The sequence below is a fragment of the Homo sapiens genome, chromosome 5 (assembly GCF_000001405.40).
Source record: "Homo sapiens chromosome 5, GRCh38.p14 Primary Assembly".
NCBI lineage: Eukaryota > Metazoa > Chordata > Mammalia > Primates > Hominidae > Homo > Homo sapiens.
The window spans coordinates 62,065,747-62,093,329 of NC_000005.10; the positions used below are offsets into that span (position 1 = coordinate 62,065,747).

At 40.8% G+C, this 27,583-nt stretch overlaps 1 long non-coding RNA gene across 1 annotated transcript in view, besides 1 other annotated feature; it reads right to left on the minus strand.

The window, feature by feature from the left end:
• LOC124900610 (uncharacterized) overlaps positions 1-27,583 on the minus strand; it is a 170,779-nt gene that overhangs the window by 98,918 nt on the left and 44,278 nt on the right. The window lies entirely within an intron of this gene.
• Positions 8,899-9,866: an enhancer, noted in NCBI's record as "OCT4-NANOG hESC enhancer chr5:61370472-61371439 (GRCh37/hg19 assembly coordinates)". NCBI's record gives its function as "activates a minimal SCP1, AML or CMV promoter by ChIP-STARR-seq in naive H9 embryonic stem cells {active_cell/tissue: H9 hESC(naive)}" and the evidence as "EXISTENCE:reporter gene assay evidence [ECO:0000049][PMID:30033119]".

Below are 27,583 nucleotides of genomic sequence, written 5' to 3' on the forward strand. Positions count from 1 at the left end.
TTATAATAATAATTTTACTTATGTAAAGATCCTCTAACATTTTCGCATGTGCTAATGAAGAGTGGGAATTAGAGTGGAAGTGGACTAACTCATTCATAGGTTATAGACTAAACCTTGTGTGTGGTCCAGGGATGACCACAAGTCCTGAGGCACTCATGAGAACTGTCATGGAGTGGATGTATGGCATGCTGACACACAACACACAGGAAGGCTGGAAAAGCAGAGCAACAAGGGCAGGCTGGGCAAGGCCACCTGGGGCCTGAGGAAATCGATCCAGATCTATGCCTGGTGCTCTGAAAACATCTGTGGAGGCTGGTAGAGGGAGCAGAATCTACCTCTCTCCCCTAGGACATCAAAACCCCAGCCAAGTTGAACGGGATTCCAGTCTCAGTTTATATAGTACAGTACCAGAGAGGGGAACTGAGACAGTAACCCACTCTTTAACAGGAAGCCACCATTCCTGAGCTCAAGGTGCTCTGTAATGTCCCTCCAGCCACCACCTACCAGGTCTCAAGCAGCACATCTAACCACAGAGCTCAGTGGTCTGAGGCTGGTAAGATACATTCCCTACTTGTCTGGATTAACTCAGAGTAGGGGTTAGTTTGCAGACAGAAGGTATATAATGATTCAGGTAAGACATCCAAGAGCCACAGAGGGCAACAAACAGACCCATGGCAGGTGACAGAAGCCAGCACAACTGCTGAAGGGGATGAGGAAAGCCAGAGGCCTCAGTATATCCATGATCAACTAACCTAGGATGCCTACATCCCTCAGGTCATGCATAAGATAGAGCAACCCTAAGCAAGGACCCTGAGCTGAGCCTCCAAGGGCATTGGGTCCTAACCCATGCTAGTGCCAACTTTCCACAGGGACATGTTAAACCCAAATCTTACTGAATTCTTGTCCAAAATAAACCTCTTAGGAAACTGTGGCTTAGAATCCCATTTTTTAAACAAAGTGTCTATGGATTCTTCATTTTTTTCATGCAGAAGCAGTATATTATAGAACAAAACTTTAGCCTCTCTCCCACTCCCAACAAATACTTCAAAACTCAGTATCATTTGCATCTTTTCACATCAGGATATCATCCATCTCATAGCTTAACATGATGAGATGATGCTGGAGGACATTATTATTTCATGTTTCTATTCTGAGAAAGATGTCTCTCTTCAACTTAACTACTAGCTGACAAAAATAATGTTGAACATCTGCAAGAGATAAAACAACTTGAATCCAATTTCCTTTCACATAGATTAACAGCCCCATTCTCCTGTCACTTATGTAGCATATAACTCAATTCTTTGCAATATTTAAATGAGAGGCTAGTTTTTCAGGTCTGTCATGTAGATGACATAAATTTTTTATTTTGTCCCTTCCACTGATATAGTGGATATATGAGACCCTGTCAGAATGTGGCAGCTTAGAAAAGAGGAGTCACACATTAGAAGACAGAAAGACCAATAAAAGGCAGAAGCTGTAAGAAAATCTCCTCTTTTAAGAATACACATAAGTAAATCACACCAAGGAGATAAGCCCTGTTGGGAAATGTGACTTTCAAATAGAACTTAAGTCACCTTCATGGATCAAGGAGTTAATGATCTATAATTTGTACGTAGTTCAACAGTCATGATGCTGAAACACAGATGTACAGATGTAACAATTAGGACCTTTTTTTAAAAAATATGAGATGGAGTCTCGCTCTGCTGCCCAGGCTGGAGTGCAGTGGTATGATCTCGGCTCACTGCAAGCTCCGCCTCCCAGGTTCACACCATTCTCCTGCCTCAGCCTCCCAAGTAGCTGGGACTACAGGTGCCCGCCACCACACCTGGCTAATTTTTTGTATTTTTAGTAGAGACGGGATTTCACCATGTTAGCTAGGATGGTCTCGATCTCCTGGCCTCGTGATCCGCCTGCCTCGGCCTCACAAAGTGCTGGGATTACAGGCGTGAGCCACCACGCCTGGCCAGGACTTTTTTTAAAAGTGGTTTTATTGATTCAAGTAACTGAAAAGTTCAAGGGTCATCCTAGCCTTAGGTAATGGCTGATCAACGGCTCATTCGAAGTTACCAAGATCTAGTTCTTTATCTTTTGGCTCCATTTAACTTTGTGTTGTTTCATTCTCAGACAGGTTTTCTCAAATGGGAGAGAGTTGGCTACAACAGCTCCAGGCTCATATAACAAGTAAGGCGAGTCAGCTTGTTGGGCCATTTTTCTGGGTCAGGTTAGGAAAACATTAAACAGTCTAGGTGCTTAACGCAGAGGGAATTTAATTCAGAAAATTGGTTATACAGGTGATAGAGAAACTGAAAATGAAAAAGGAAGGAATAGAGAAATTAGACATAGTATAGGAAGCCACTATCACTCTTGGAGCTGGAAACAAAAGGAGAAGGTGGTATGATTGGAACCCAGAAGAATCTAGAACCATGACAAGTCTGTTACACAGAAGCTAATCATAAAGGGGAAATAGCCACTGATGGAGACACTGCTGCAGATAGAAGAGAACGGGGAAACTACCAGTCTCTTCTGACTGCCTCCCATTGGACAAGCCTAGCTGGAAGCCAGCTGGCAAGGCAGCCCAGGATATATACTTGCCTATAACGTAGAGCAGGCAATAGATCTGAGAGCGAGAAGGCAAGTGACCAAACAAAGATTTAAATATAAATGATTGTATTTCTCTGTCATAATTACCTTCAACCATAATCTGTTGAATTTCCTTTCCCCGATAAACAAAGGATTCCTTAACAACATCTTGGGCAGATTCCCTTAACTTACTGATCAGTTTCAGTTTTTAAACCTCTGTCCAGTGCCTGGGCAGAGTTAGCAGAATTAGCACACTGCTGGGGCTGAGTTTGGCTCGGCCAGTTGGGAGCCACTGAGACCATGGGGAATTTAGGCAGGTGAGATCCCACTTCTTGTTGGATGCACCACTGGAGCTGAAGGGAACTTCAGTCCTGTGTGCAACCAGGGGGGCGGAGAACTGTCCACCTGGGAGGCTGGTGTGAGTCACATGCTGGAACAGTGGGGAACTGTAGATCTGTGAAAACCCAGGCCCAGGAGAGGGGTAGCTCTTGGCCTAAGTACCCCTGGGGCCACAGCAGGGGAACTTTTTATATGTATATGGTGAGAATGATAATTCTCAACTGGTGTAGACAAGCGTGAGTTGGCAGCACAGGGGTGAGGAGATGGCACATGTAATCAGGAGATTGATCCATACAAGGGACTAAGCAAATGAACATACTAAGGATAGTGGGAGACAGGATTCTCACTATCTTCAAATATGGAAAAGGGAAAAGCCAGAACAAACCATGTGATGAGGGATTGAAATTAGAAGTAGCTATATAGAGAGATAGAAAACTGTAGAAATAACTACAGATGTGTGTGTGTGTGTGTGTGTGTGTGTGTGTGTGTGCATACATACATGCATTTATTTCTAGCTCCCTGTCTGTTGAGAAGGCCTAGAAGCAACACTTCATAACAATGAGTGCAACTAGCCCTCTGGTCTTGGTTTTTAAATACTATTATCCACTAAAAGGAACCAATGGTCTTGGAAAAAATGGCTAATTCCAGGACTGGGACAAGCAAAGTACAAGATAAGCCTCAGACACCTTGTGCCAGAATATAATGAAGTTTTCAAAGCATGATAGGGACATATTAAAAGGATATAGTAGTCAAACTAAAGGTGCTATCACTGGCCAAATCTGGAACAAATTGGGCATTAAAATAAATAATGATAGTATTGGACTATACCACATTGAATAAAATAACAATCTATGGATCCATACAAGTATAAATACATATATACATTAGCAAATGGGGTAAAGAAAAAAGTCTGCCTTTTAGTAGATTGTCAACTAGTAAATGTAGAAGAAATGATGGAATTAGAAAATTGTTATTTGGTAACTAGTATAGTAATAATTGGTTTAGGCAAAATTCATCAATGAATGCTTAAAGAAGTGTGTGAAAATCTGAAGAGGAACAGGCTATTTACTTAGTCTCAGAGCACCCCACAAAACACTGGTTAATTTTACAACAGAAAATCTAGCAGATAGTATCTTTAACCAAGTGAAAGAAAGTTAACATCACCAGCAATAGAACAAATCATCATCATGTGTATCCTGTCACTTCTGTGGTATTTCTGGAAAAAATTCATTATGCTAATCTAATCCTGAGGAAACATCAGACAAACCCAAATTTAGGGACATTCTACAAAGTAACGGGCTTGGATAATTCAAAAATATCAAGGCCTTGAAGGGCAAGGGAAGACTGAAGAACTGTCTCAAGTTGAAATAAATTAAAAGAAATGATGACTAGATGCAACACAAGATTCTAGTTTGGATTCTCAACCTGTAAAGAATATTGTTGTAAAAATGGGTAGAATTTTAATGGGATCTCTGAATTATATGGTGGTATAAAATCAGTGTTGTTCTCCTGATTTTGATGGGTATACTGTGGCTTCATCAGAGGATGTCTTTTGTTTAATAAATACATACTGAAGTGTTTAGGGGTAATGGATCATTTCTCTGCTACCCAATCTCAAGTGGTTAAGGGGAAAAAAAAAGTACATGCATGTGTGTATGTGTGTAAAGAAAAAGAGAGAAAGAGAATGAATGATAAGACAAATGTGTAGAATGTTAACAACGGAGGAATCTGGATGAAAGATACACAGAAGTTCTCTATACCACTTTTGCAACTATTCATCCTTCTCTATGTTATACTTTTTAAAGGATTCTATAGTAAAATTGCCAGACTCCTAATCCTGGCATTACAGATATTCTGTTGTTATACCCACAGCTTACTCTTTCGCCGGGTGCCTACATGTCTTCAAGGGGCTGAGCTTCAGTGACTTCATGTGGCAGCCACACTGGTATGCAGGAGCAGGCCCCTGCTTTGTGGGACCTAAATCTTACACAGTTTGGGGAATACCTTAAGAAAAAGAATATAAAATTGCAAATTCAAAATTGGCTATGAAAGTGAATATTTATTTAGAAGGGGCTCAAACAACTGAAGGACACTGAAACTCAAACTGCATTTGTAGCACAATAAATCTGTGTCTGCTGAAATGGTGAGATGGGCCAACTCCACTGTCTTAGGAGCTGTCCACCTGGAAGGAGCACGGGCTGAGCAAATGTGACTAGCTCTACGCTGGGCCTTTAAATGGAAATGCTCCTTCTCTTTCTCTATTGCTTGGAACTTTCTCACCAAGAGAGTAAAAACTACAGAGGTTTGGGTTTGGGCCTGGGGAAGAAAACGCCAAGAAGACTACTCAGCCTAACTCTAGTGTTGTTAAGTCACGAAAGCCTGCCTCCAGCCTTAGCAAATAGACTAGAAAAAGTACAGTCTTATTACAGGCTGAATAGAAATAAAATGCAATGAGAAGCAAGTAAAAGGCTACCATATGGCCCAGTCTGGCTCTCCAGGGGACCATATCAGTTTTTGGTTGAACATCTTATGGTAATAAAGATTATGCATTGGCCTGGCCTTTTCGTCTATGTCTTTGAAAGCTCATGGGGTAGGGGTGGGGGCCAAGGGGAAGTTGTGTGTTGCCCGAAAAGCTCTCCATCTCTTTCCATTAGCCACATAGCATCCCATAAATATCTACTTCCCATACTAGCCTGTGTGCCAAGACTGGGAAAATGGATGTCAATACCCCTTCCTCTCCAACCCTCCCTCTTATGTGGCAGCAACAAACCAACAGAGGTCTTCATTCTTACTAAGAGGGTATGTTGTTTGTACTTAGCTGGGCATGAAGGAAATAAACAGAACTGAAAAACAGAAAAAATGTAATTCGATAGTTGGACTGGAAATACTGCTCCCTCCACTAGGCATTTCACCAAGATGAAACTTGCTTCACTTTTATAACACAACCCATCAAGGAACTGAGAGAGCTCATAATATTATCCATCATGCTATGGTAGTGTCCTTGGATGCTACAAAGGAACACACATGGGTAGATTGCCAATTTGTTATTTTTAGTTCTTGAAAAATTTGACTATGGGGGGAAATTTCAAGAAAATCACCCAGTCCCCAGCCTGTATATACAGCACTTAAAGCACATCTATCAGTAAGAACCGCCAATTACAGCTGCAGGCATTTGCGGGTGACCAAAGGATATTTGCCGGCCTTCTCTCATCCATTCTCTCACGTGGGCTTGTAGAAGAGATTTTATAGGAGTGTGGAGCCTGGCGGCTATGAGGAACACACTTTCTACCTCAAACCTCTGCATTTGTTCCCCTCTGGTGAAAGCATTCATCTCCCTGGTTTTCACAGGGCTGGCTCCTTCTCATGCTGCAGAACTCACCTCAGATTGCACCTCCATGAAAGAGTCTTTTCCATCGCCATATGGGAAGTTGTGCCCATCCCCGACAATCACCCTGTCACCTCACCCTGTCAGTCCAGCTTTATAACTTACCACCATGCATGGCGGTTTACTGTCTGTTGTGTTTATTTGTCCCATTCATCACTGTATTTCAGCCCAGCACAGGGCCAGGCACATAGTGGGTGCTTGATACCTTGTTAATTCAACAGCCATGAAAAAAGAGAAAAGCAGAGGAAAACAGAGATCCCCCAGATGGGTGGATGAAGAGTCAGGTACGTCATTTCTTTCAATAAGTTTTTTTCATACTGTTGGAAACTTTTCAAAATGTTGGAAACTTTTCAAACTGTTGGAATTTTTAAAGGGACTTATGATTCAAGAATGAATTCCAAAATAATTCTCAAAATGAGAGGGCACAGTTTCAACTTACTCATTCTCTCTCCAATTTGTTCAACTAATGTGAAATCTCCATGCACACACACACACACAAAAGAGTTGAGAGAGGATCAAAAACACTTTGCCCTGGTGCCTAAGAGGCTCAGTCAATTGTCAATAAGAACTCATGATGGACAATCTGTGGTGGAAAAGTTGAACTCATAATACAGAACTTCTGCCCAACTCCAGATACTCAAATCAACACCTGCTATGTGGCAGACATGCTGCTAAACACTCTAACCCTAACTCAATTTTAATTCTGATAACCATAATGAGTGACTGAAGCAAAGTCTCAATCAATCAAGGTTTATTAAGCTAGCTTTAGGCCGAGTCCAGGAAAGACACTAGCCACAGACACATCTGTGGCTGTTTTTCTGAAAAGGTTTTCAGGAGGTTTAGTATTTATACATTTCCTTAAAGAGGGGAAGATATGTAGGAAGAGGGATAGGTAGCCAGTAAGGCAAACAGTTACATTCTTGTGAGACTAGTTATTGCCCAGAATTTACATAAAATAAGGTGAATGTTTGAAGAGAAAAAAGGGAGTAAAGGAAGAATCAATTATGCCAACATCTCTGGGTAGGGGAAGGAATGACTGATCTCATCTTGTTTTTGTTCTGCACCTGGGGAAATAAGCTTGTAATGCACACTATCAGTGTGGAAACAAATGGACTTTAGTTTTAGGAGCTAGACTTAGATTTAAACCTAAAGTTACAATTGGCATATCCTTGTTTAGGGGCGGGGCGGTGGGGCCAACAACAAATATACTTATGAATGATTTGTGGGGGCAGTCCTTTGTAGATGACTGAGGCCTTTTACCTTTCTGTGGGGATCTGGCTAATGAATAATGCTAGTAACAGCTATTCATTTGGAAGAGGATATTGCATAACTCAGCCTCCAGGATCAACCTCCCCTTTTGCATAAGGAGTCTAGGGGTCCTGGGATTTTTTTTACTGTCCTTTACAATTCCATTCTAGATTTTGCACATGGATTGTTAGAACTGACACCTACAATTCTGAGACTAGAGTTTAAAGTGATAGAATCCTGGGACTAGAGGCTACAATATACAATACAAAGGCCCTTTATTAAACAAGTATCTGCTCAACTCTGGAAGACTTGAGCAGGGAGTTATGAGACAGGTTACTTCAGGTTCTGGACACACTAACCTAAATGGAAACGGGCTACCCCGAGCAGTGGTCACTCCAGTTGGGTCTCAATGGGATGATCAGCTGATCTGAGGTTACAGTAGAGGGAGAGGGCTCCCTCAGGATATGAGGCCTCTAAACTCAGATTAGGACTTCCCAAGCCAGGGGAAGGCAATTACAAATCCAGATCCAAAAATTCATAACCAACAGGGGTGCAGGAGGACAAAGAACTACATCAAGATCCAACCTCTCCATGATCTCTGTTTAAGGACCTATGTCCTCTTGTTCCCCTTCCTAAAATCTCATTTTGTATGTTATGTGGGTTCACAATACTCAGACAAGCTTTTGGATAACTGCTTGTTTTGGAGGCTTCACTACCCTAATTTTTTTTTGTTTTATACAGCACACTTACACTTTTATCCAAAAGGCCTAAAAACCATTGTTGCTTTAGAACTGTTGACAAAAAAAAAATCAAACTCCATAAAATATTTAAAAAGGTTTATTCTAAGACAATATAAGTGACCATGGCCCAGGGAACAGTCTGAAGAGGCCCTGAGAAAGTGTGCCTGAGGTGGTCAGGTTACATTTTGGTTTTATACATTTTAGGGAGAGTGAAGTTACAGGCAAAGACATAAACCAGTACATGTAAGGAATACATTGCTTCAACCCAGGAAGGCAGGACATCTCAAAGTGGACGCTTATAAGTCATAGGTGGATTGAAAGATTTTTTGATTGGCAACTGGTTGAGAGAGTTGAGCTTTGTCCAAAGACTTGAAGTCAGTAGAAAAAAAAAAATGCTTGAGTTAAGGTGTGCTGTGGAAGCCAAGGTTCTTATTATGTCGATGAAGCCTCCAGGTAGCAACCCTGAGAGAGAATAAATGGTAAATGTTTCTCTTAAACCTTAAAAGGTGTCAGACTCTTGGTTTATCTCTCCTAGATCCCAAAAAGTCCTGGCTGTATCAATGGGGATTCTCTGCAGATGTAAATTTCCCCCATAAAAGACAACTGTGGGGTCATTTCAGAATATGTCAAAGAAATACATTTGGGGGTAAAATATTTTGATTTCCTTCAAGGTCTGCTATCTGTCATATGATGATATACCAGAGTCATGTTGGAATTTGATATCTTATTGCCACAATGTGTGTTTTGTCAGTCTTAAGATCTCTATTTTAATGTTAATGTTGGTCAGTTGTGCCTAAACTCCAAAAGGGAGGGGGGATAAGGAGGGGTGTCTGACCTCCCTTCCTGTCATGATGGGTGATTCAGTTTTCCTGGTTTCTCTTGGGTCCCCTTGGCCCAGAGGGGGTCCGTTTAGTCAGTTGTTGGGGGAGGGGAAGGCAGAGCTTAGGATTTTATTTTTGGTTTACATAACCTAGAGCCGCAACAGAAAATTCATATAATAAATGAGATAACCTGACTGTCACTAAAACTTTACTACATCTCCAGATATATTATCCTGGTCCCAAAGATGGGGATATGACACTAAAAACTGCCAATGCAGAGAGCAGTGTACTACTTATCGTGTGTGTGTGTGTGTGTGTGTGTGTGTGTGTGTGTATGCAGAGGAAGGCAGCACAATAATGATAACAATCACTGAGATCCATTTTAAAAGGCACAGCCACAGTCTCAGGTGAGGTGCATTAAGATGCAGATTACTCTCTACAGGGGGTACAGTGCTACTAGCTATAGCTGAAACCAAGTTCTTATTATCTCATTACACCTTTGTTTCTTACTGCCTTGGTTGCAGGAACTCTAGCTAAACACATTGGGGCATCTGTTATTACCCCATGGAAAGTTAGAATGCTGTGGGAACCTAGGGTGTGCTTGAGAAGGTCATACTTTTTTAAAAGCTGCTGCTGCTGCCAATGTCCAAAACTTTACCTTATGACACCCAGATTTGTACAACACATTATTCAGAACAGTCCTTTAGCAAGAGAGCAGCAGTCTCCATTCTGCAAACTCTGTTGCTAGAATTTTCCATATCAATAAAGTTCCTAGTAGAAATCTCTGCCTTGGAACTCAGGACCCACCATCAATGAGAAAGCTTGCAATTATGAGGTATTCAGGCAAATACTAGATTTTAATTGCATTTAGTCAATAACATAAAATAAATCAATTAAATATTATTTGATCAATAATAGGTAATTTCCATTTTAGATTTAAATTTGATCAGTAATAGGTATTTAATCAATAATGGGGCAAAAATCTGTGGCCTAAACAAACTTTGTATACTGATTATTTACACAGCTTAAATTCACTGGTGAATTAGCAACTATCCATTTACTCCATCTTATGAATAACTGGGCTCAAATAAGATCTAGAAGTTTGATGAAAACACCATTGCAAAATTATAACTGAGACAGTGAAAGAGATCTGACCTAACCAACTCCATCTTGCTTCTAACCTCCAAGCTGTCTTTGTTCATTCCTGGGTGTAGGGCTGAACTAACTTTGGGAGGAACTTAGTTTATAGTTTAGCTTTGAAACAAAGATGATAACAGCCCTTTCCCAAAACAAAACCCCTTCCTGCCTGGGGACTAGACTGCCTTTGTTGGACTGACAAATTGGCTAGAAGATTAGAAGTTATGGTTTAGGAGTCATACAGCTAGAAGCTACAAGATTCTGACCCTCCCCAAATTGCTCCTGGCGATAACATCACTATTGCAAAACCTAAGATCAGTGTTTGAGATATTTTGCAGACCCTACACTCGATGGATCAGCTGGCACCCAGATCAGTAAACTGGCTCATCTGCTCTTGTGGCCCCCAACCAGGAACTGACTCAGCCCAAGAGGACAGCTTCGACTCCTTAATTTCATCTCCAACCTGACCAATTAGGACTCCTGATTCACTGGCTCCCCTCTACCCACCAAATTATCCTTAAAAACTTCAATCCCCAAACTCTTGGGGAGACTGATTTGAGTAATGATAGAACTCTGGTCTCCTGCACAGCTGGCTCTGCGTGAATTACCCTTTCTCTTTTAAAATTCCCCTGTCCTAATAAATAGGCTCTGTCTAGGCAGCAGGCAAGGTGAACCCGTTGGATGGTTACATTGATGTCTAAGTTAACCTTAAGGAAAGTTAAACAGCTGTAGTAGAAATATTACATTTCCTAACAAACTCTCAAGTGTTTCTAAACAAATTTATTTTCCCTTTCTACTTTTTTCTCTTTATTATTTCATATAAATATTTTTGGTGGTGAATACCTTTGTAATTTAGTCTTTTGTTACAAAATATTCAGATGGGTCCATGACTGAATTTGAGGAATAATTAACATTCCCCAGAGATGATTCAAAGGACTTTGTGGCACCCCTTCTGAAAGATAAAATGGGAACATCTTTATTAGTGGAAGAATATTTGCATCTTGTTAGGCAAAAGCATAGAGTTGTTATTGTTGTTCTAAAGGGTATATACGGATGTTAAGCAGCTAAAGGAATAGCTGTGACAAAAATCCAGCTATTATATTATTGCATATAATATATATGTATTAGTGTTGTTGTTGTTACCACTACTGTTATTATTATTACTATTATTATTATTTGAGCTCCACATCCACATTTCTGTACTGAGGTGGAGACTGCAAGCTACATTTCTCCTTCATCAGAGCTCCATGTTTGATCCTGCCAATAGCAGTACTAGTGTTACAGCAGGTATCTAGCCAGGCATAAGCAACCCCCACCAGAGATGTCAGGTGGCCATCAGGTGATGGTCAGGCGGTTGTTACACTATTTCCCAGCACCAGGGAAAAGCAGTCTCCCAATATAGAAAAAACCTGAAACTGGTGATTAGCAGCTTCCTAGTAAGATCTCAGGAGCTGGGCAAGTGGGCTCAGGCATGCACACTAAGAGGCAAAATGGCAAAGTTTAACCGGTACATCACCTTCTAGGTACATGCAGCTGGTAAGGAAAGAACGCCTCAAGTAAGCATCCATACAACTCCAGTAAACACACTGCGCATGCTCCCCTCCCAGGTGCTAGCAGGCCACTGTGCATGCAGACGGCCCACCCCATGAGAGCAACCAGGGGAGAAGGGATGCAAGTCCCCAGAAATATGCCAACATATAAAACCCCAAGTCAAAGGTCAAATAGTGCACTTGATCTCTCAAGTCACCCACTTGGCACTCTTCCAAGTGTACTTTATTTCCTTTCCTTCCTGCTCTAAAGCTTTTTAATAAACTTTCACTCCTGCTGTAAAACTTTTCTCCATCTTTCATTTTGCCTTATGCTCCTTGGTCAAATTCTTTCTTCTGAGACAAGAACTGAGGTTGCTGCAAACCCGTATGGATTCACCATCAGTAACATACTTTGATGCCACGTTGCTCAGATATTCCCCCTAAGCGCTAACATACTTTAGTGCCACGTGACTCAGGTACATTCCGCTGCTAACATTAGGGAGGAATTGGAAGGCAGGAGGCACTTGCTCATCCCTGCTTGCCCACTGGCTGTTCCTGCCAGCATTGCTCTGTCTGTCACCCTGCACCCCGGGCAGCAGAGGTTCGCTCCAGCTGCAGTTGTTTTCAGTTTTTTGCTTCTTCCCATACTTCCAGAATCAGCCTCATCACACCCCACTCAGTGGTGCCAGCAGCAACAGGGCAGAGCCACTGCTTCAGAGATCTGCACCCCAGCTACCTAGTGCCCCCCCTCTGAGCCCTTGAGATGTAGACAGCTGCCAGACAGCTTCACCTCTGAGGCCCTGAACTAAAGCAGCAGCCCCCTCCTCAGAGGTGAAGTCTCAACTCTGCAGGGCCTCTCCTCAAAGTTCTAGGTTCTGATAACCGCAAACATCTCCCTTCTTGCGATCATTATCTCTGAATACATCAGTGTCCTCTTTCATGTTTTTTCAATACTGTAACAACTGTTAACCACTTTCTTATATTACATTTTCTCCCCTAAAATAGCTAGTGTGGTTTCTACTAAAAAAGGGTCATCTTTTTGACTGACCCTTGAATGTAATAGGTGTCTGCTAGGGGGAACAAAGACGAGGAGGCCATAAAGATTGCTTGTGATCAAATAACTTTAGGAAGCACTGAGTTAAGCAAAGTTTACAAAGGTTTCTCTGCAACAAGTCTCACCAGGGCCTGTGCATATGCTACTGGGCATTGTAAATTTCCAATGAGAAACATTTCTCAAACTTAATTAAGCAAGGAATCCATTTAGTGTGAAATATGTTATGAGATTAATGTTTCACAGAGCAACAGTCAGAAATGCTGGACTCAAGTAATAGGTCCTCGAAAAACTTCCAGAAAAACTTGCCTATTACCATTAGGAAAACACACGATATCTTACATTATCCTATAAAATAGAAGGTACTTCCTTTAAAACAGACAGAAAAACCTGGTGGACCCACTATGATACATTCATTCCAGGCTAGGTCTCTGCAGACATAGCAAAGTGGAGAATAGAGGCAATTCTTTTAAAAAGAAAGTGCCAACATTTTAGTGAATATTCCAGATAGAAAGCTAAAAATTTGATCTTAAAGTATAGTGCTACACTCTGATAACAGTTTCAACTTAAGGATTAATATTTAATTTTCTTTATATTAATTTATTATTGCTAACTTCTTATTATGGGAATTCTATCCAGTCCTCTTATCAAGTTAACCATAGCATTAATCATCCAATCTCCTATAATTATGAGTTTCACAGGCTGAGAAAATGCCATTCTCCTTTTTGTAAGTCAAACACACAAAGGTTTACATGTTTAACATCAAAAGCAACTTGAGGCACAAAGGATCATTATACAAAGCCCTTTGTTGCCAGGTCCAGAGCCAAAATTAAGTAGGAAGTATAAGAAATAGTTCAGTGAATGTGGACATTGGGAAGAGGACTACTCATTGTCCTCTCTCATACCTGCATTCTTATCATAACTCTCTCCTTCTTCCACATTCATTCAAGGCGTTGGGGCTCAGAAATCAATACCCCAACAATACGGCATTTTGACATGCTAAACTGAAGATGAACCTTCAAGGTCTCTCTGACCTCCTCTCAAATCCTGTATCTCAATCCTCTGTCTCTCCCAGATCCCAGAATGAAGTTATTTCTGAAATTCCCTTATCTGCCTAAAGTGCAGAACTGCCAAAGAAGAAAATAATCACCTCTGGTCCTTTCCCTGAGAGTTCATTAACCGAATTTGTGTTGCAGAAGAAAGACCAAAGTCTGTCAACACACCTGGATAGACTTTTGTCACAAACCATTGTCTGCTTTGCAGGCCCAAGAGACTTTGTTCCAGGCCACTGTATGTTCTTCAAGCCCACTGAATTCTCCTAAAGATCATTTACAATCTCCTTAAAATCATTCACATTTCCTTATTTCCCTTTTCCCTAAGAAAAAGAGTATATAACCATCTGTACCCCTATTGCATGGTGGAGTAATCACTCTGATTTTCCCTTCATGCATGTTGATAAATATGTATACCTTTTCTCCTATTAATCTGCCTTTTGTGAGTTGATTTTCCAGCAAACTTTCAGAGGGCAAAGGGGAATTTTTCCCTTGGGCCCTACAGAGGCCCATTTTACAGACCCAACTCAGGTGGCATTTCCACTGTGAAACCCTCTCCAACTGCTCTGGTCCATTAAGCTCTTCCTTTTCGGAACTCTGGTGGTGTTTATTGTTTACACCCCTGATTTGAGCACGTTATAAATGCCTTTACATTGTTGTTTACTTATAGACATAAATGCCATGTCTCCACATTAACATAGACACTTTTATAGCAGGGACCATGGTATATGTCTACAGCAACTACATCACCTGAACAACATCTGAAAAGATATTTGTTTCTAGTTTTCAAATATATCCATATGAAAAATAATATACACTTAATGCATAGCATTCACAGAGAAGGAAGAAATTAACATGGAATCCAGATTTCCGGGTCCTCAGTGGGTTATGAAGTTTATAGGAACACCTGTTTTAGAAGAATTTCATGCCTTCTTCGTAATAAGTGCTGAGTAGATGGAAGTTGATGATAATGATTATTATAGAATTGGAATAGTTGGGATTCCCTGTGGGATCGCAAATGGAACCAGCTAAAGGTATGCTCATTAGAACAGTATTTATTAAGTTCCAGTCATAGAAAGTATTGACAGAATTGTGACATGGAAAGAGCACTGATTCGGAATCAGAACTTGATTCTTTAAAACCTCCACTTACTCGTGTGGCCTTGAACAAGTACTTTACTTTCCTCGGCATCAATTTCTCTATTTATAAAACAAAGATAATAATGACCTCAAGCAGTTACTGTGGTGATTACATAAAATAAAGTGTTGGTTCATTACACATTTGACATATAGTAAGAGCTTAATAACTGGTAGTAGTAGCTGTTGCTAATATTTGTAGAGAAAGCTTGCACCCAGGTGAGTAGAGTGGACAATCACCTATCCAAAGTGAAGTTATTCACCTGCCTATTCCAGTGTTTAAATTCCAAACCAGAATTCATTCCCATGGGTTTAAGGATTATTCCCTATTAAAATGTCCAACACATTAATCTTCTATCTACTATCAGTGTTTACTGCTTCGTAGGAATTTATCACCCCGAGAGCTAACCTTGATTCACTCTTTTTTTTTTTTTTTTGAGATGGAGTCTTGCTCTGTTGCCCAGGCTGGAGCGCAGTGACTCCCTCTTGGCTCACTGCAGCCTCCGCCTCCCAGGTTCAAGAGATTCTTCTGTCTCAGCCTCCCAAGTAGCTGGGATTATAGGCATCCACCACCATGCCCAGCTAATTTTTGTATTTTTAGTAGAGACAGGTTTTCACCAATGTTGGCCAGGCTGGTCTCGAATGCCTGATCTCAGGTGACCCATCCGCCTCAGGCTCCCAAAGTGCTGGGATTACAGGCATGAGTCACCACACCTGGCCCTTGATTCACTCTTGTAGCCATGTACTAAGGCATTACTATGTCCCAGATCCTCTGCAGGACAAGAGGGAGATGAATAAAATGCTCATAAGTCTTTCTCTTGGTTGGTGGAAGTCTCACTGTGCACTTGCTTGAGAGAAAGTAGAGAAGACGAAGGGGAATGAAAGGCCCAGCAAGGCAACTAAACTGCTGAAAGGAGGGGCTGAAGGATTCCCGCGAGGGCCCTGTCTAATCTACCATGTGGCCTAGAAACTGCCCTGGCTGACTTAGAAGGTGAGAAAACAATGTATAAAAAAGATTTAGATGAATTATAAGGTATTTTAAAGCAAACTAATATCTGGCTTTATTGTCCAGAATTGTGGATGGTTTTGAATTCGTCAACAAGCTGTGCAGCCTCTGCCTGCAGCACATGGAACAGCGAGGCCAGAAGGAATGTGGGGACAGACATTTTGGCTTCCAGATGTCTTCTAGCTGTACAGGCACATCAGAAATTTGGGGTATCCCCTCCTCAATATGGTGAAATTTTCTTCTGAACAATAAAAAAATGGCTTGCTACATGAATTTTTTTTTTTAGTAAAAGCTAAATAGTAGACCTATTTTTTTAAATGAACTGCTTTAGCAATTACTCTAAATGATGCTAATCATTTGCATGCAAACAATAATTAGATAATTAAGCAAGCTGGGATGGACCTGTATTTGGCCCCACTTTCCCATCCATTTGTTTTGCATTTCTGTATATTTGAAAAAATACACAAGTGGATATCTTTAAAACAGTCTATAATTCAGATTTTCACTAGTGCACTCTGACTTTAATCCCCAATTCATCCAAATTAGTAAGGCTTAACCATAGTTTCTCAAAGCCTTTGGGATCTTACTTCAGTGTATCCACATCATTTTCTCCTGAATTATCTGGATTCATCCCCAAGTCCACCGTATAACTACAGTCCTCTTCCCTGCCCCCACTTCACTCAGGCTGCAGTTACATATTAAGAAATTTGGTACCACTGCTCCTACCCAAAGCCATTTCCTCCTTTCACCCAGAAGCTAATCAAGTTACGGCCTCAAATTAGAGTTAATCGCCTGATATATTTTATAATTTATGAGAGTGTTACATCTGATGTGAAGTAATCAAGTTTTATGATCTATGACTGCATTTGTGGTTTATTGACTCAGAGTTTGGGTATTTCGCTTCTAAAAATGGATTTAATATGGCCAGATTAGTTGGCCCTTTCTGCGAAGGCCATCCTGAGTCACTCCCCAATAGTCACAGAGTTCCTCCTAATCCCTTAAATATCCCCTCAATATTAAGGCTGATCCAGAGCTGCATGTGTGCTTCATCAGAATAATAACAGCAACAATTCCTCCTATTTGTATAATGCTTAATATTTTTCAAAGCACTGTTGTTAAATGTCATCCCCTCCCAAACCGGGTCCAGTGATAGGAAACTGAGAAGAATCTCATTTTCCTCATTAAAATAAAGTAAAAAAATGTTAATATCAGAGGAAATGGAGCTGCCAGTCCCTTGGTTCCACATTCATTAGTAGACTCCTGCTAAAAGTTGCTGAGCTTCCCATTGTGCCGAGCAGTCGTGGATGGTCACATCAGTCTTCTTCCCTCTCCTCGGTTGCTCCAGAGAGTCCCACTGCTTTCTCTTTAGCTCTCCCTCACTGATGGAGGGGTCATCTGTCTGGGGCAGGTGATGAGAAGCATCATGTCGGCTGCCTCTCCTCAAGCGGCCCCTGCCAGCTGTGATCAGTGTTACCAGGCAAAGCCCTCTCAACTGCCCTCTGAATCTGAAATCCTCCTTTGGGTTTTTCCTGTGCTCAGTGCAATCAGTCCAGAGACGTTAGGCCCTCGAAGTTGGCATAGACACAGTCATGATTTTTCACCTGCTAAGTGGCTCTGGGACTTTTTCCAGTCCTCAAGATCTAACAAACCGCACTCTGCAATCACAGCTTTGCTGAAGTTCCGCCACCAGCAAAAGAAGTCAGAACAGGCTCGCCTAGTAGGAGCAGAGCCCACTGGGCTGCTGGGAAGCCTAGCAGAGACAGCAGGAAGCAGGGCAGCTCCTGAAAGGCTGGAGCAGCATTCTACTGGCGTTCACATTTGTTCCATTCTGGACATTACACTGTGTGTGTGACCGTGGCCCAGCTCCAGAGACTTAAAGTGGAGCACACATCTATGTGTTTTTGTGTTTTCCATCTTACTATCCCTAATCCAAGTTTCTTTAAGCTGTGACAATGCTTTAAAAATCTAAGCATTGTTTCAAGACGGTGCTACTCTATGAGATGCCTTTACAGAAGAGCTTTAACCTTATATGTCTTGCTCTCTTCCCTCTACAGCACCATTGGTGCACCTAAAATGTACCTGGGTGCCTTAACAATAGCATGAGCAATTGCCCACTCATCAGATTTCTGGCAGGAGATGTGGTAATCACTAGTGTCAATAGCAAAAGCCTTCTAGCTATCTGCCTTTCAGGTACATGGTGGGGCATACTTAACTGTTTGCTCTGATGTTAGGCATAGCATGGACCTACTTGGTTCAATAAAGAGACAGCAGAAGTGATGTGTGTCATTTCCAAGGGAAAGTCTCACAGCCAGACAATACTTTATCAGCCTGGGCCTGGGTGACTATGAGGAGCAGAGCCTCTGCCCACTGACAATGGACACATCCCATGAATAGGAAAGACACACATATTGTGTTATGCCACTAAGAGCTTTGAGCTGTTAGTTATTGCAGCATAAACTGACCTAACCTGACTACTATCTGGGTGGAGGAGGGACCAACAGGATCTGAAAACCAGCGCCCATCAACTCAGGCAGATGGTTCAGCATTGCAGGAATTTACCTGACCTCCATTGAAGAGGGGGTACAAATGAGCTCAGCAACCCTAATCTGACCAGACAAAGCAGCGGACAGTCACTGCTACCACTATTGCCACACGTCAAAATAATATGCAAAATGTGTGGCTTGCTGTCAAGATAATTCCATTTCCTGAAAGTCTCTCTCGTTTTGGAGCGGGCATACGTTACACATTTTCTTCACTATATTTTTCAGAAACAAAGGAAGAGAAAAAAGGATCCTGCCAAACAGCATTTATATTTAGCATGCACCATATGCACATGTGCGTTACAGAGTACAAAGACATGTGGCAGTCCCGCCAGATTGAAGTCAGCAGGATAGAGAGCAGGAGATATAATATACAAGTGCGAGACTCTCAGTAGCATAAATGGAGGCATTTCTGAGAACAAAATGGCTCTTTGTGTCTTGACTTCACAAGATTCTTCAGTAGCCACTTCAGAATATTCTAGGGGAGCCTAATCTTTAGATGCAAGGCCATGAGTGAAAGGAGGGCTTGGTGGGCAAAAGGTCTTTGAAGTGGAGTGCAGTTACTTAGGGCCCCTGCAGGTTCTTGCTAATCCACTTTACTACATCCTCCACTACAGAGCTCCATTTGGAACAGGAGGTTTTCTCCTCAGAGTCAAGGAGGGAGAAAATATTTTGAGGGAAAGATGGTGTCTACCAGCATCAAAGTCACGCTTAGGAAAACCGAGCACTTCGTGATTACGAAGGGAGCATGAGAATGAACTGCTCAGGCCCTGAAGGGGGAACTGAATCTAGGACACTGCAAATAAGGTAGGAAAAGCAAGCATGTGAATACACAACTGTGTGTGGGAGGGTATTATTGCCATCCCATCAGCTTTAAACCAGCGGGTGAGTGAGAGAAGGAAAGGCCACTGCCCACTCCTGGGTGCCACAAGGAAGGGTTTTCCCTGAACATGTGAATGGCTGTTCATGGCCCTTTACTCACACCACCCCTAGTGAGTTGGGGTGATTTATCAGGTTGCTGTATTTGGGAGGAAAACTGGCATGCTTAGCTCAGCAACACCATTCCTCCTCCTGGCCTGCCCCAGCCCAGCAGTATGGTGACTTGGGTGGGTAAGTCTGCCTATCAGTCTTGTTTCATAGCCATAAAGTCGCATCCTACCATCTCATAGAGGTAATATTTTGGTTCCAGATCTGCCTCTCCTATTCCTCAAATGATTGTTATTCCTTTTCTATTTTTTCTTCTTTAAATTATTCAGAATCATTGGTGGGTAACAGGTGAGACTAAGTGGATTTTCCCACCACTACCAACACACGCACCCCCAAATGGAGTAACCAAGGTGGATTATTTCTTTCCAGGGCCTTAGTCCTGTTAATGGTGCATGTTTTGTGGTCAGAACTCAGCTATTCAAAGGTTACATCTTAGTGAAAACATGGCATGTTCTTGTTACAATCTGAATATTTGTGTCCCCCCACCTAAAATATATTGTTGAAATCTTAAGCCCAAAGTGGATGTCTTTGGGAGGTGATTAGGTCATGAGGGCAGAGCGGTCATAGATATAATTAGTGTCCTTATAAAAGATGTCTAAGGGATCTTATTTCCTCCTTCTACCACGTGAGGACACAGCAAGAAGGTGCCATCTGGCAGAAAGTGAGCCCTCACCAGACATCAAATCTGCTGGTTACCTTGATCTTGAACTTCCTCTAGAACTATAAGAAATAAATTTATGTTGTTTAACAATTTCCCATTCTAAGGGGTTTTGCTTTAGCAGCCTGAACAAGTTAAGACAGTTCTAAAGCAAAATTATCTACTCTTAGCTTTGGGGTGTTTTTTCAGTTTTAAGTATAAGAGTTATACCCATTTACATCTGATCTATAGGGTCTCTAATGAGCCTCTACCGAAAAAAAAAGACTCCACCCCAGATCACCATCACAGATCAGACTTACATATAGACATGTGTGGGCTTATCCAATGCAGATCAGGTAAAAACAACTTCCTGAGAGAATATATCGCGACAGAAGAAGAGAAGTTAGAGCCAGCAATCGATCCTGATTGCGGATGGTGAGTGCTGTTCTTCCAAAACATACAGTGGCTGATATTGGAACACTTCTAGAAATAGCCTGCCTGGAGGCTTAGATTCACATTAGCAGAAAGGGGCTATGTGTGCAACTTTAAAGAATATATTAATTTCTGTAGTTTGGGAAGGGGGATCCTAAGATACCTTGATCTGGAGCTTCCTACAGCTGAGCATAGCACATAGGAAGCATTTTTTCATCTCAATTTGCAAATAGAATAATAAGAATCTCCAGCCTTGAGGCATAGTAAGTATGATCCGCTTTCACAGACATAGAGATTTCCAGTTCCATTGATATCTAGATGGTAGACTGGCACTATCCAAAGTGATGGGCAGAGGTGTATTTAGCCCAGAGAAGCACTCTGTGGAAGAGTGACTCCTGAAGTTATGGAGTTGCAGCCCACCTAGACTGCATCATGCAACAGCCAGAGGTCATCTGTGGAGATATGAGAGCCTCCCTGGGGAGTCCCAGAAGAACCTGGGACGACAGCACTTCCTGTCCCAGTTCCTGTATTCCTTGGAACCAGCCCAGTGGCACAACCTTAGCCTTTTGTAACAGTTTATAGGAAATTCACTGGTATCTATTTAGATCCAGTTTAATGATTCCTTCTCTACTGATATTTTTCTCCCTTATACATTTTATTCCATCTTTGCTAAGAGTGGCCCACCTGCGCCACCCCCATGTTTGACTCACATGGTCTATAAAGCAGAAACCAAAACCACAAAGAGTCACCCCTTCCCCTCCCGCAGCCCTCTTTCCCCCACCTCCTCCATGCATCTCTCAACCCCAGAGGTGAAGCAGCATACGTATCTACTCAAAAGATAAACCATTTCAGGTCACACATTCATTCTTGTTCATACCTTTATAGAGGACTGACCTAAGAGAAAATATAATAAGCTCTTGCCCACATTATGAGAATTTAGAGACCCCAGTAAAAGCACCACTCACAACGCTTCCTTCCCCTTTACAAATGCCTAAAATTCGACTGCAAAAGAATCATTCATTTGGCCTTAAGCTTGATCCCCTAGTAGAATGCAAACAAGAGAATATGTATGGCAGAGACAACTGATAGCCTACCCAATATCCATTCTTTTCCACCTTCACATAACAAACTCCCAGTTTTATTCTGGATGGCAAGGTGCCCACATAACAAAACTAGGAAACCAGCCTCCTTTACAGCCATGGATGTCACATGACACAGTTCTGACCCATGTAGAAAGAATTCTTAAGAAGGGCTTCTAGAAAAACTCTTTAGGGTGGGCCGACTTAGCTGACCTCCTCCCTTTCCAACCTTCCTGCTTTCTCATGCATGAAATATAGATATAATGGTAGGAGCAGGGATAGTCATCTTATGGCCACAAGGGAAAGGTCAAGGCCATTAGAGACCTTGAGCCACTGTACCACAGCCATCAGCTATTAGTTCCCAAACCTCTCATTACATGAGAAAAATAAACCCTCATATACTGTGAAGTCCTCTTAGTTACGTCTCTTTTATTAGTAGTAACCGAATGCAATTTATGAGATGCATACGTAAAGCATTACCAGAAGCAAGTTTCACCCTTCAGTGAGTAAATTTATCAAATCTTTTCCTTTAAGAAGAAAATATCCAAAGTAAAGGTTGGAAGGAGAAAGGAACTAGGCAGTAAATGCAATGGGTAAACTCTCCCCCTTCACATCCTTGGTAAATACTCAAATTAAGGCAGAATATTATTAGAATAAAAAAAGCAAGGTAAACATAAAATTACAGAACATGAATATACCCTCAAGGAAGCAAAAAATAGCCATGCAAATATACATTAAAGATAGGCCGGGTGCAGTGGCTCATACCTGTAATCCCAGCACTTTGGGAGGCCGAGGCGGGTGGATCACTTGAAGTCAGGAGTTCGAGACCAGCCTGGACAACATGGCAAAACTCTGTCTCTACTAAAAATACAAAATTAGCCAGGCGTGGTGGCACTCGCCTATAATCGCAGCTACTTAGGAGGCTGAGGCATGAAAATCGCTTGAACCCAGGATGTGGAGGTTGCAGTGAGCCAAGATCATGCCACTGCATTCACACTTGGGTGACAGAAGGAGACTCTGTCTCAAAAAAACATTAAAGGAAATTAAGAGGAGTAAGCCTCCTAGGCAAAATGACACGGATTCCTCCAACCCATCTATACTGCTTCTGCCAACCCTTTTTCAAGGAGACAGGAAAGGGTTTTCAATCTCCAAGGAATCTTCCTTAGTCAATAATAGAACCTTTCTATATCCTATTATTTTAAAACCTTTCATCCTTGTATTTTTTAGTTGGCTGTTCTTATTATCAAATTATTCAAAACAGAGTTTTATTTGGCCATTTGGCCAGAATCCTCAAACTCTTGGTGATTTCTTGCGGCATTTGACCTGAAGTTACGTGGCCATTTAATATCATCACCATAATCCTCTCAAAAGCACATTTTTGGCTGGCTGTAGTGGCACACCTGGAATCCCAACACTTTGGGAGGCCAAGGCAGGAGGATCACTTGAGCCCAGGAGTTTGAAACCAGTCTCGGCAACATAGCAAAATCCTGTTTCTACAAAAAATAATAATAAAAAATTAGCCCAGGGTTGTGGCACATGCCTTTAGTCCCACCTACTCGGGAGGCCGAGGCAGGAGGATCACTTAAGTCCAGGAATTTGAGGTTACAGTGAGCTATAATTGCACCAGATGGTGAATTTCAGTCCTGGTGCCAGAGTGAAACCCAGCCTCAAAAAAGAAAAAAAAGTAGTGAGGGGGCAATTTTTTTAAGGTAAACTTCCTTTAATCTACATCCAAGGTCATTTCCTCTGATCAATCTATGCCTTACCTTTTTTTTTTTTTTTTTTTGAGACAGAGTCTCGCTCTGTCGCCCAGGCTGGAGTGCAGTGGCGCAATCTCCGCTCACTGCAAGCTCCGCCTCCCGGGTTGACACCATTCTCCTGCCTCCGCCTCCCAAGTAGCTGGGACTACAGGTGCCCCCCACTATGCCCGGCTAATTTTTTTGTATTTTTAGTAGAGACGGGGTTTCACCGTGTTAGCCAACATGGTCTCCATCTCCTGACCTCGTGATCCGCCTGTCTCAGCCTCCCAAACTGCTGGGATTACAGGCATGAGCCGCCGCGCCCGGCCCTTTTTTTTTTTTTTTTTTTTTCTGATGCTGATTCTGAGTTAGGTTCCAGCTATTAGACGTATAGTAAAATAACCATTAGGCACAAAACAACCCAGGTACATATTTCCGCCCTTCTCACGCTGGAAGCCAAAAATAACACCCAAGTAGAATTTATACTTTGTAGCTGAAAAACAAGTCTATTCCTGAGAGGAATATTTGGCTAAGTGAGTATGGTCAACACTCCAATAAAGATCATTGGTTAGATCTATGGATTATCCATTTAATGAATTAAAAACCAAATCCTCAATTAATTTAATTTAATTCAAAATACTTTGGTTAGCATATATACACACTTTTGTTGAGTTTATTCCTATGTGTGAAATTTCTGGGCTATCAGATATGCATACATTAAATATTAGATACTAATAACAGGTTTCCAAGTATTTATACCAGTTTACATTCCCACAGCAACAGTAATAAATTTTTAGTTGCTCTATAGCCTCATCAATAATTGGGATGGTCACTGATTTTTTTGTTCGCTTGTTTTGCTTTGTTTTAGTACTTCTGGTGAACATGTTGTGGTCTCATAGTTTTAATTTGTGATTATGTTACACACTTTTTTAGTGTGTAATGATGTAAAACACCTTTTTCTTATGCTCATTCAGCATTAAGGTATCTCCTTAATACCTGTTCAGTCTTTTTCCATGTTCAATCTTTTTCCATTTTCCTATTAGATCACATATCTTTTCCTCTTTTATTTTAGGAGTTCTTTTGATATTCTAGAAATGAGTCCTTTGCAGTATATATGTATTGCAATTATCTTCTATTCTGTGGCTTGCATTTTTATGTCCTTAGTGATGCCTTTTGATGAACAGAGGTTCTTGATTTTAATGAAGAGCAATTTGTCAAATTTTTTCTTTCATGGTTACTGCATATTGTCCTAAGAAATATTTGCCTATCCACTAAGACCATGAAGATTTTCTCCTATGTTTTCCTTTAAAAGCTTAATTTTTTAGCTTTCACTTTCAAGTCTATGATTGACTTGGAATTAATTTTGTGCACAATGTGTGGTAGTGGGTCAATTTTCTTTTTTTCCTATATAAACATCTAATTTTCTCAACATCCTTTATTATAAACACATTCTTTTCTCCCACAGAATTGCAGTGGCACCTTTGTCCTAATCAACTGACTGTATATGTATGGGTCTGTTCTGCACTCTGTGTGCTCTTCTTTTGGTCTATTTGTCCATTCTTGTATCATACCACACTGTCTTAATTACTGTCGTTTATTAACACGTCTTGAAATCTGGTAGTATATATATCCTTCAACTTTGTTCTTTGTCAAGTATGTCTTTGCTATTCTTGACTCTGAGTTTCCTATAAACTTTAGAATCAGTTTTTCAAGTTCCTCAACCAAACCTTCTGAAATTTTGATAGGGATTGTACTGGATCTATAAATTAATATAGTAAAAACTGACATGCTAACAATATTGAATTGTCAAACCCACAAACATAGTATAACCCTGAATTTATTTAGGCTTATTTATCTCAGTATATTTTGTAGTTTTTTGTAGCAGTCTAACATATCTTTTATTTGACTAATTTCTAATGATTTGATATTTTTATTTTATTATAAATTAAATAATTCCTAATTAAAATAGTTAATTATCTGTTGTCAGCATAAATACAACTGACCTCTATATATTGACTTTAGTAAATTCACTTATTAATTGCCATAGTTTATCTGTACTCTTTTGTTTCCTATATGCAAATTGTGTAATCTACAAATAATGACAATTTCATTATTTCCTCTCTCATCCTTATGCATTTTACACCTACTTTTAGGTATTTTTATTGACTAGACTCTCTAGTAAAATATTGAAAAGAAGTGATGATATTATGCATCGTTATCTCATTCCTGATCTCACAGGAAAAGCTTTCAATACTTCACCATTAAATATTATATTTACTGTAGATACTTTGTAGATACCTTATCATCAGATTAATTATATAGTTGTACCACAAACACAGTCACAGAACTGTTCAGCACATCAGTATTCTTTAGAACCAAAAACTAGAAGCAAACTGAGGACTCATCAACAGTAGAATGGACAGATAAATGTGATATATCCATACAATAGAATACTATACAGCAATATAAAAGGATTCTGTACCCAACAGAATCAATGGTGATTCTTACAGACATAATGCTCAGTGAAAGGATGTGTGTACCTGCTTCATGTAAACCAGCGTCCTTCTGAACCAGGGCACAGCTGTCCTCCTGGGATTCCCCATAGTCCCTAGATCCCTTTGCCTTCTTATTCTCTTTCCCCATGTATTCTTCTTTCTTGGTTTACTCCCCTCTCTTAGTGGCCCATGTTCTTCAATAGTTTTCTTAGAAAATACGTGTGGAAATTACATTTTTTTAGATCTTACATATATGAAATGTATTTATTCTATATTTTTATGTGATTGGTAGTTGGGCAGGATATAGAATTCTAGATTGGAAATCATTTTGAAGGCATTATCCCAACAGGGTTGCTTCTGAGACATCAGAAGAAATTCTGATTCCTGATACTTTGTACATGACCTATTTGTTTTCCTCTTCTCTGGAGATATTTAAGATTCTCTCCTTACCCTCAGTGCACTGAATTTCCCAGTAATATGTCCCTTGCAATCTGGAAGAGCCTACCTAGCACATCCTACAATAGGCAACATAGAGCAAATAGCGTAAATTAGAATTTCAGCACAGATTTTTGCCACCCTCTACAGGTATTTAGGAATATACCAACTTCTGATTTTTACTGCATTTTTACTAGTCTTGTTTCTTTTGATCATTTCCTGGTTGTAGTAGCTTCTAAGCCCCCTTTCCTTCCTCACAAATCATTGAATTGCAAGGAAAGAAAAACTTTGCAATTACTTTTCACTCCTGCTTTTATTTCCCACAATGTGTTTTCTGTCCAAGTGGTTGTTCCATTTTCTTCCTTTTATCATGTTTTTTAGGGAATTTGGGGAGAGGATGTTACATTAGTTAGGACTCAGTTGCAAGAGGTAGAAATCCAGCTTGAGCTAGCTTGAGCCAAAAAACAGAGAGGGAGGAATTTACTAGGAGGATATATAATCAAGCCACAGGAAATACAGATTCTGTTGGGCTTTAGAAACAACTAGACCAGGGGCTGAACATCATCTAAATCAAGTATCTACCTCCTGTCTCTGATTTTCTCTGATATCTTTATTATTTTCTCTTGAAGTTTTATCTACATAACAAAAAAATATGGTCACTAATAACTCCAGAGTTCTACAACTAATGACTTTGACTAGCAAAGCACAACTTAGGTGCCCAGTTTTAGATCAATTGACTATAGACAGGGAATTAGGGTCACAGCACAATAATGCCAACATGTAGATAGTAGGGAAGGAGGACAGTCCCTAATTACAGGTGCTGGTGCTCAGCAGGCAATCCCATAGATGTTTCTTATAATAAACCTTCTTTTCAAGATGTAGGATATAGATGTTGAGATGATGCTTACTGAAGAAGTATCACGCTTCTCTGAGATACTGTGGCCAAATCCTCCATGTGACTAAATGATATTTTGGCATCCAGATCCTACTGGACACAATGCATAGAGAATAGACATCCCAGGCCAGGAACTAGGTTAAATCACTAATATCTGTTTTCCAAATTCATATTGAAAACTCAGTAAATATTATATTTGTGATAGTAAGTGCCCTACTTAGTAAAGACTAGATACAAACATACAGATTTACCTTAATGGACTTGATTAGTAACTAACCAATACCCAAATCCGCAGATAATTTCCCCCCAAACTTCTGTTT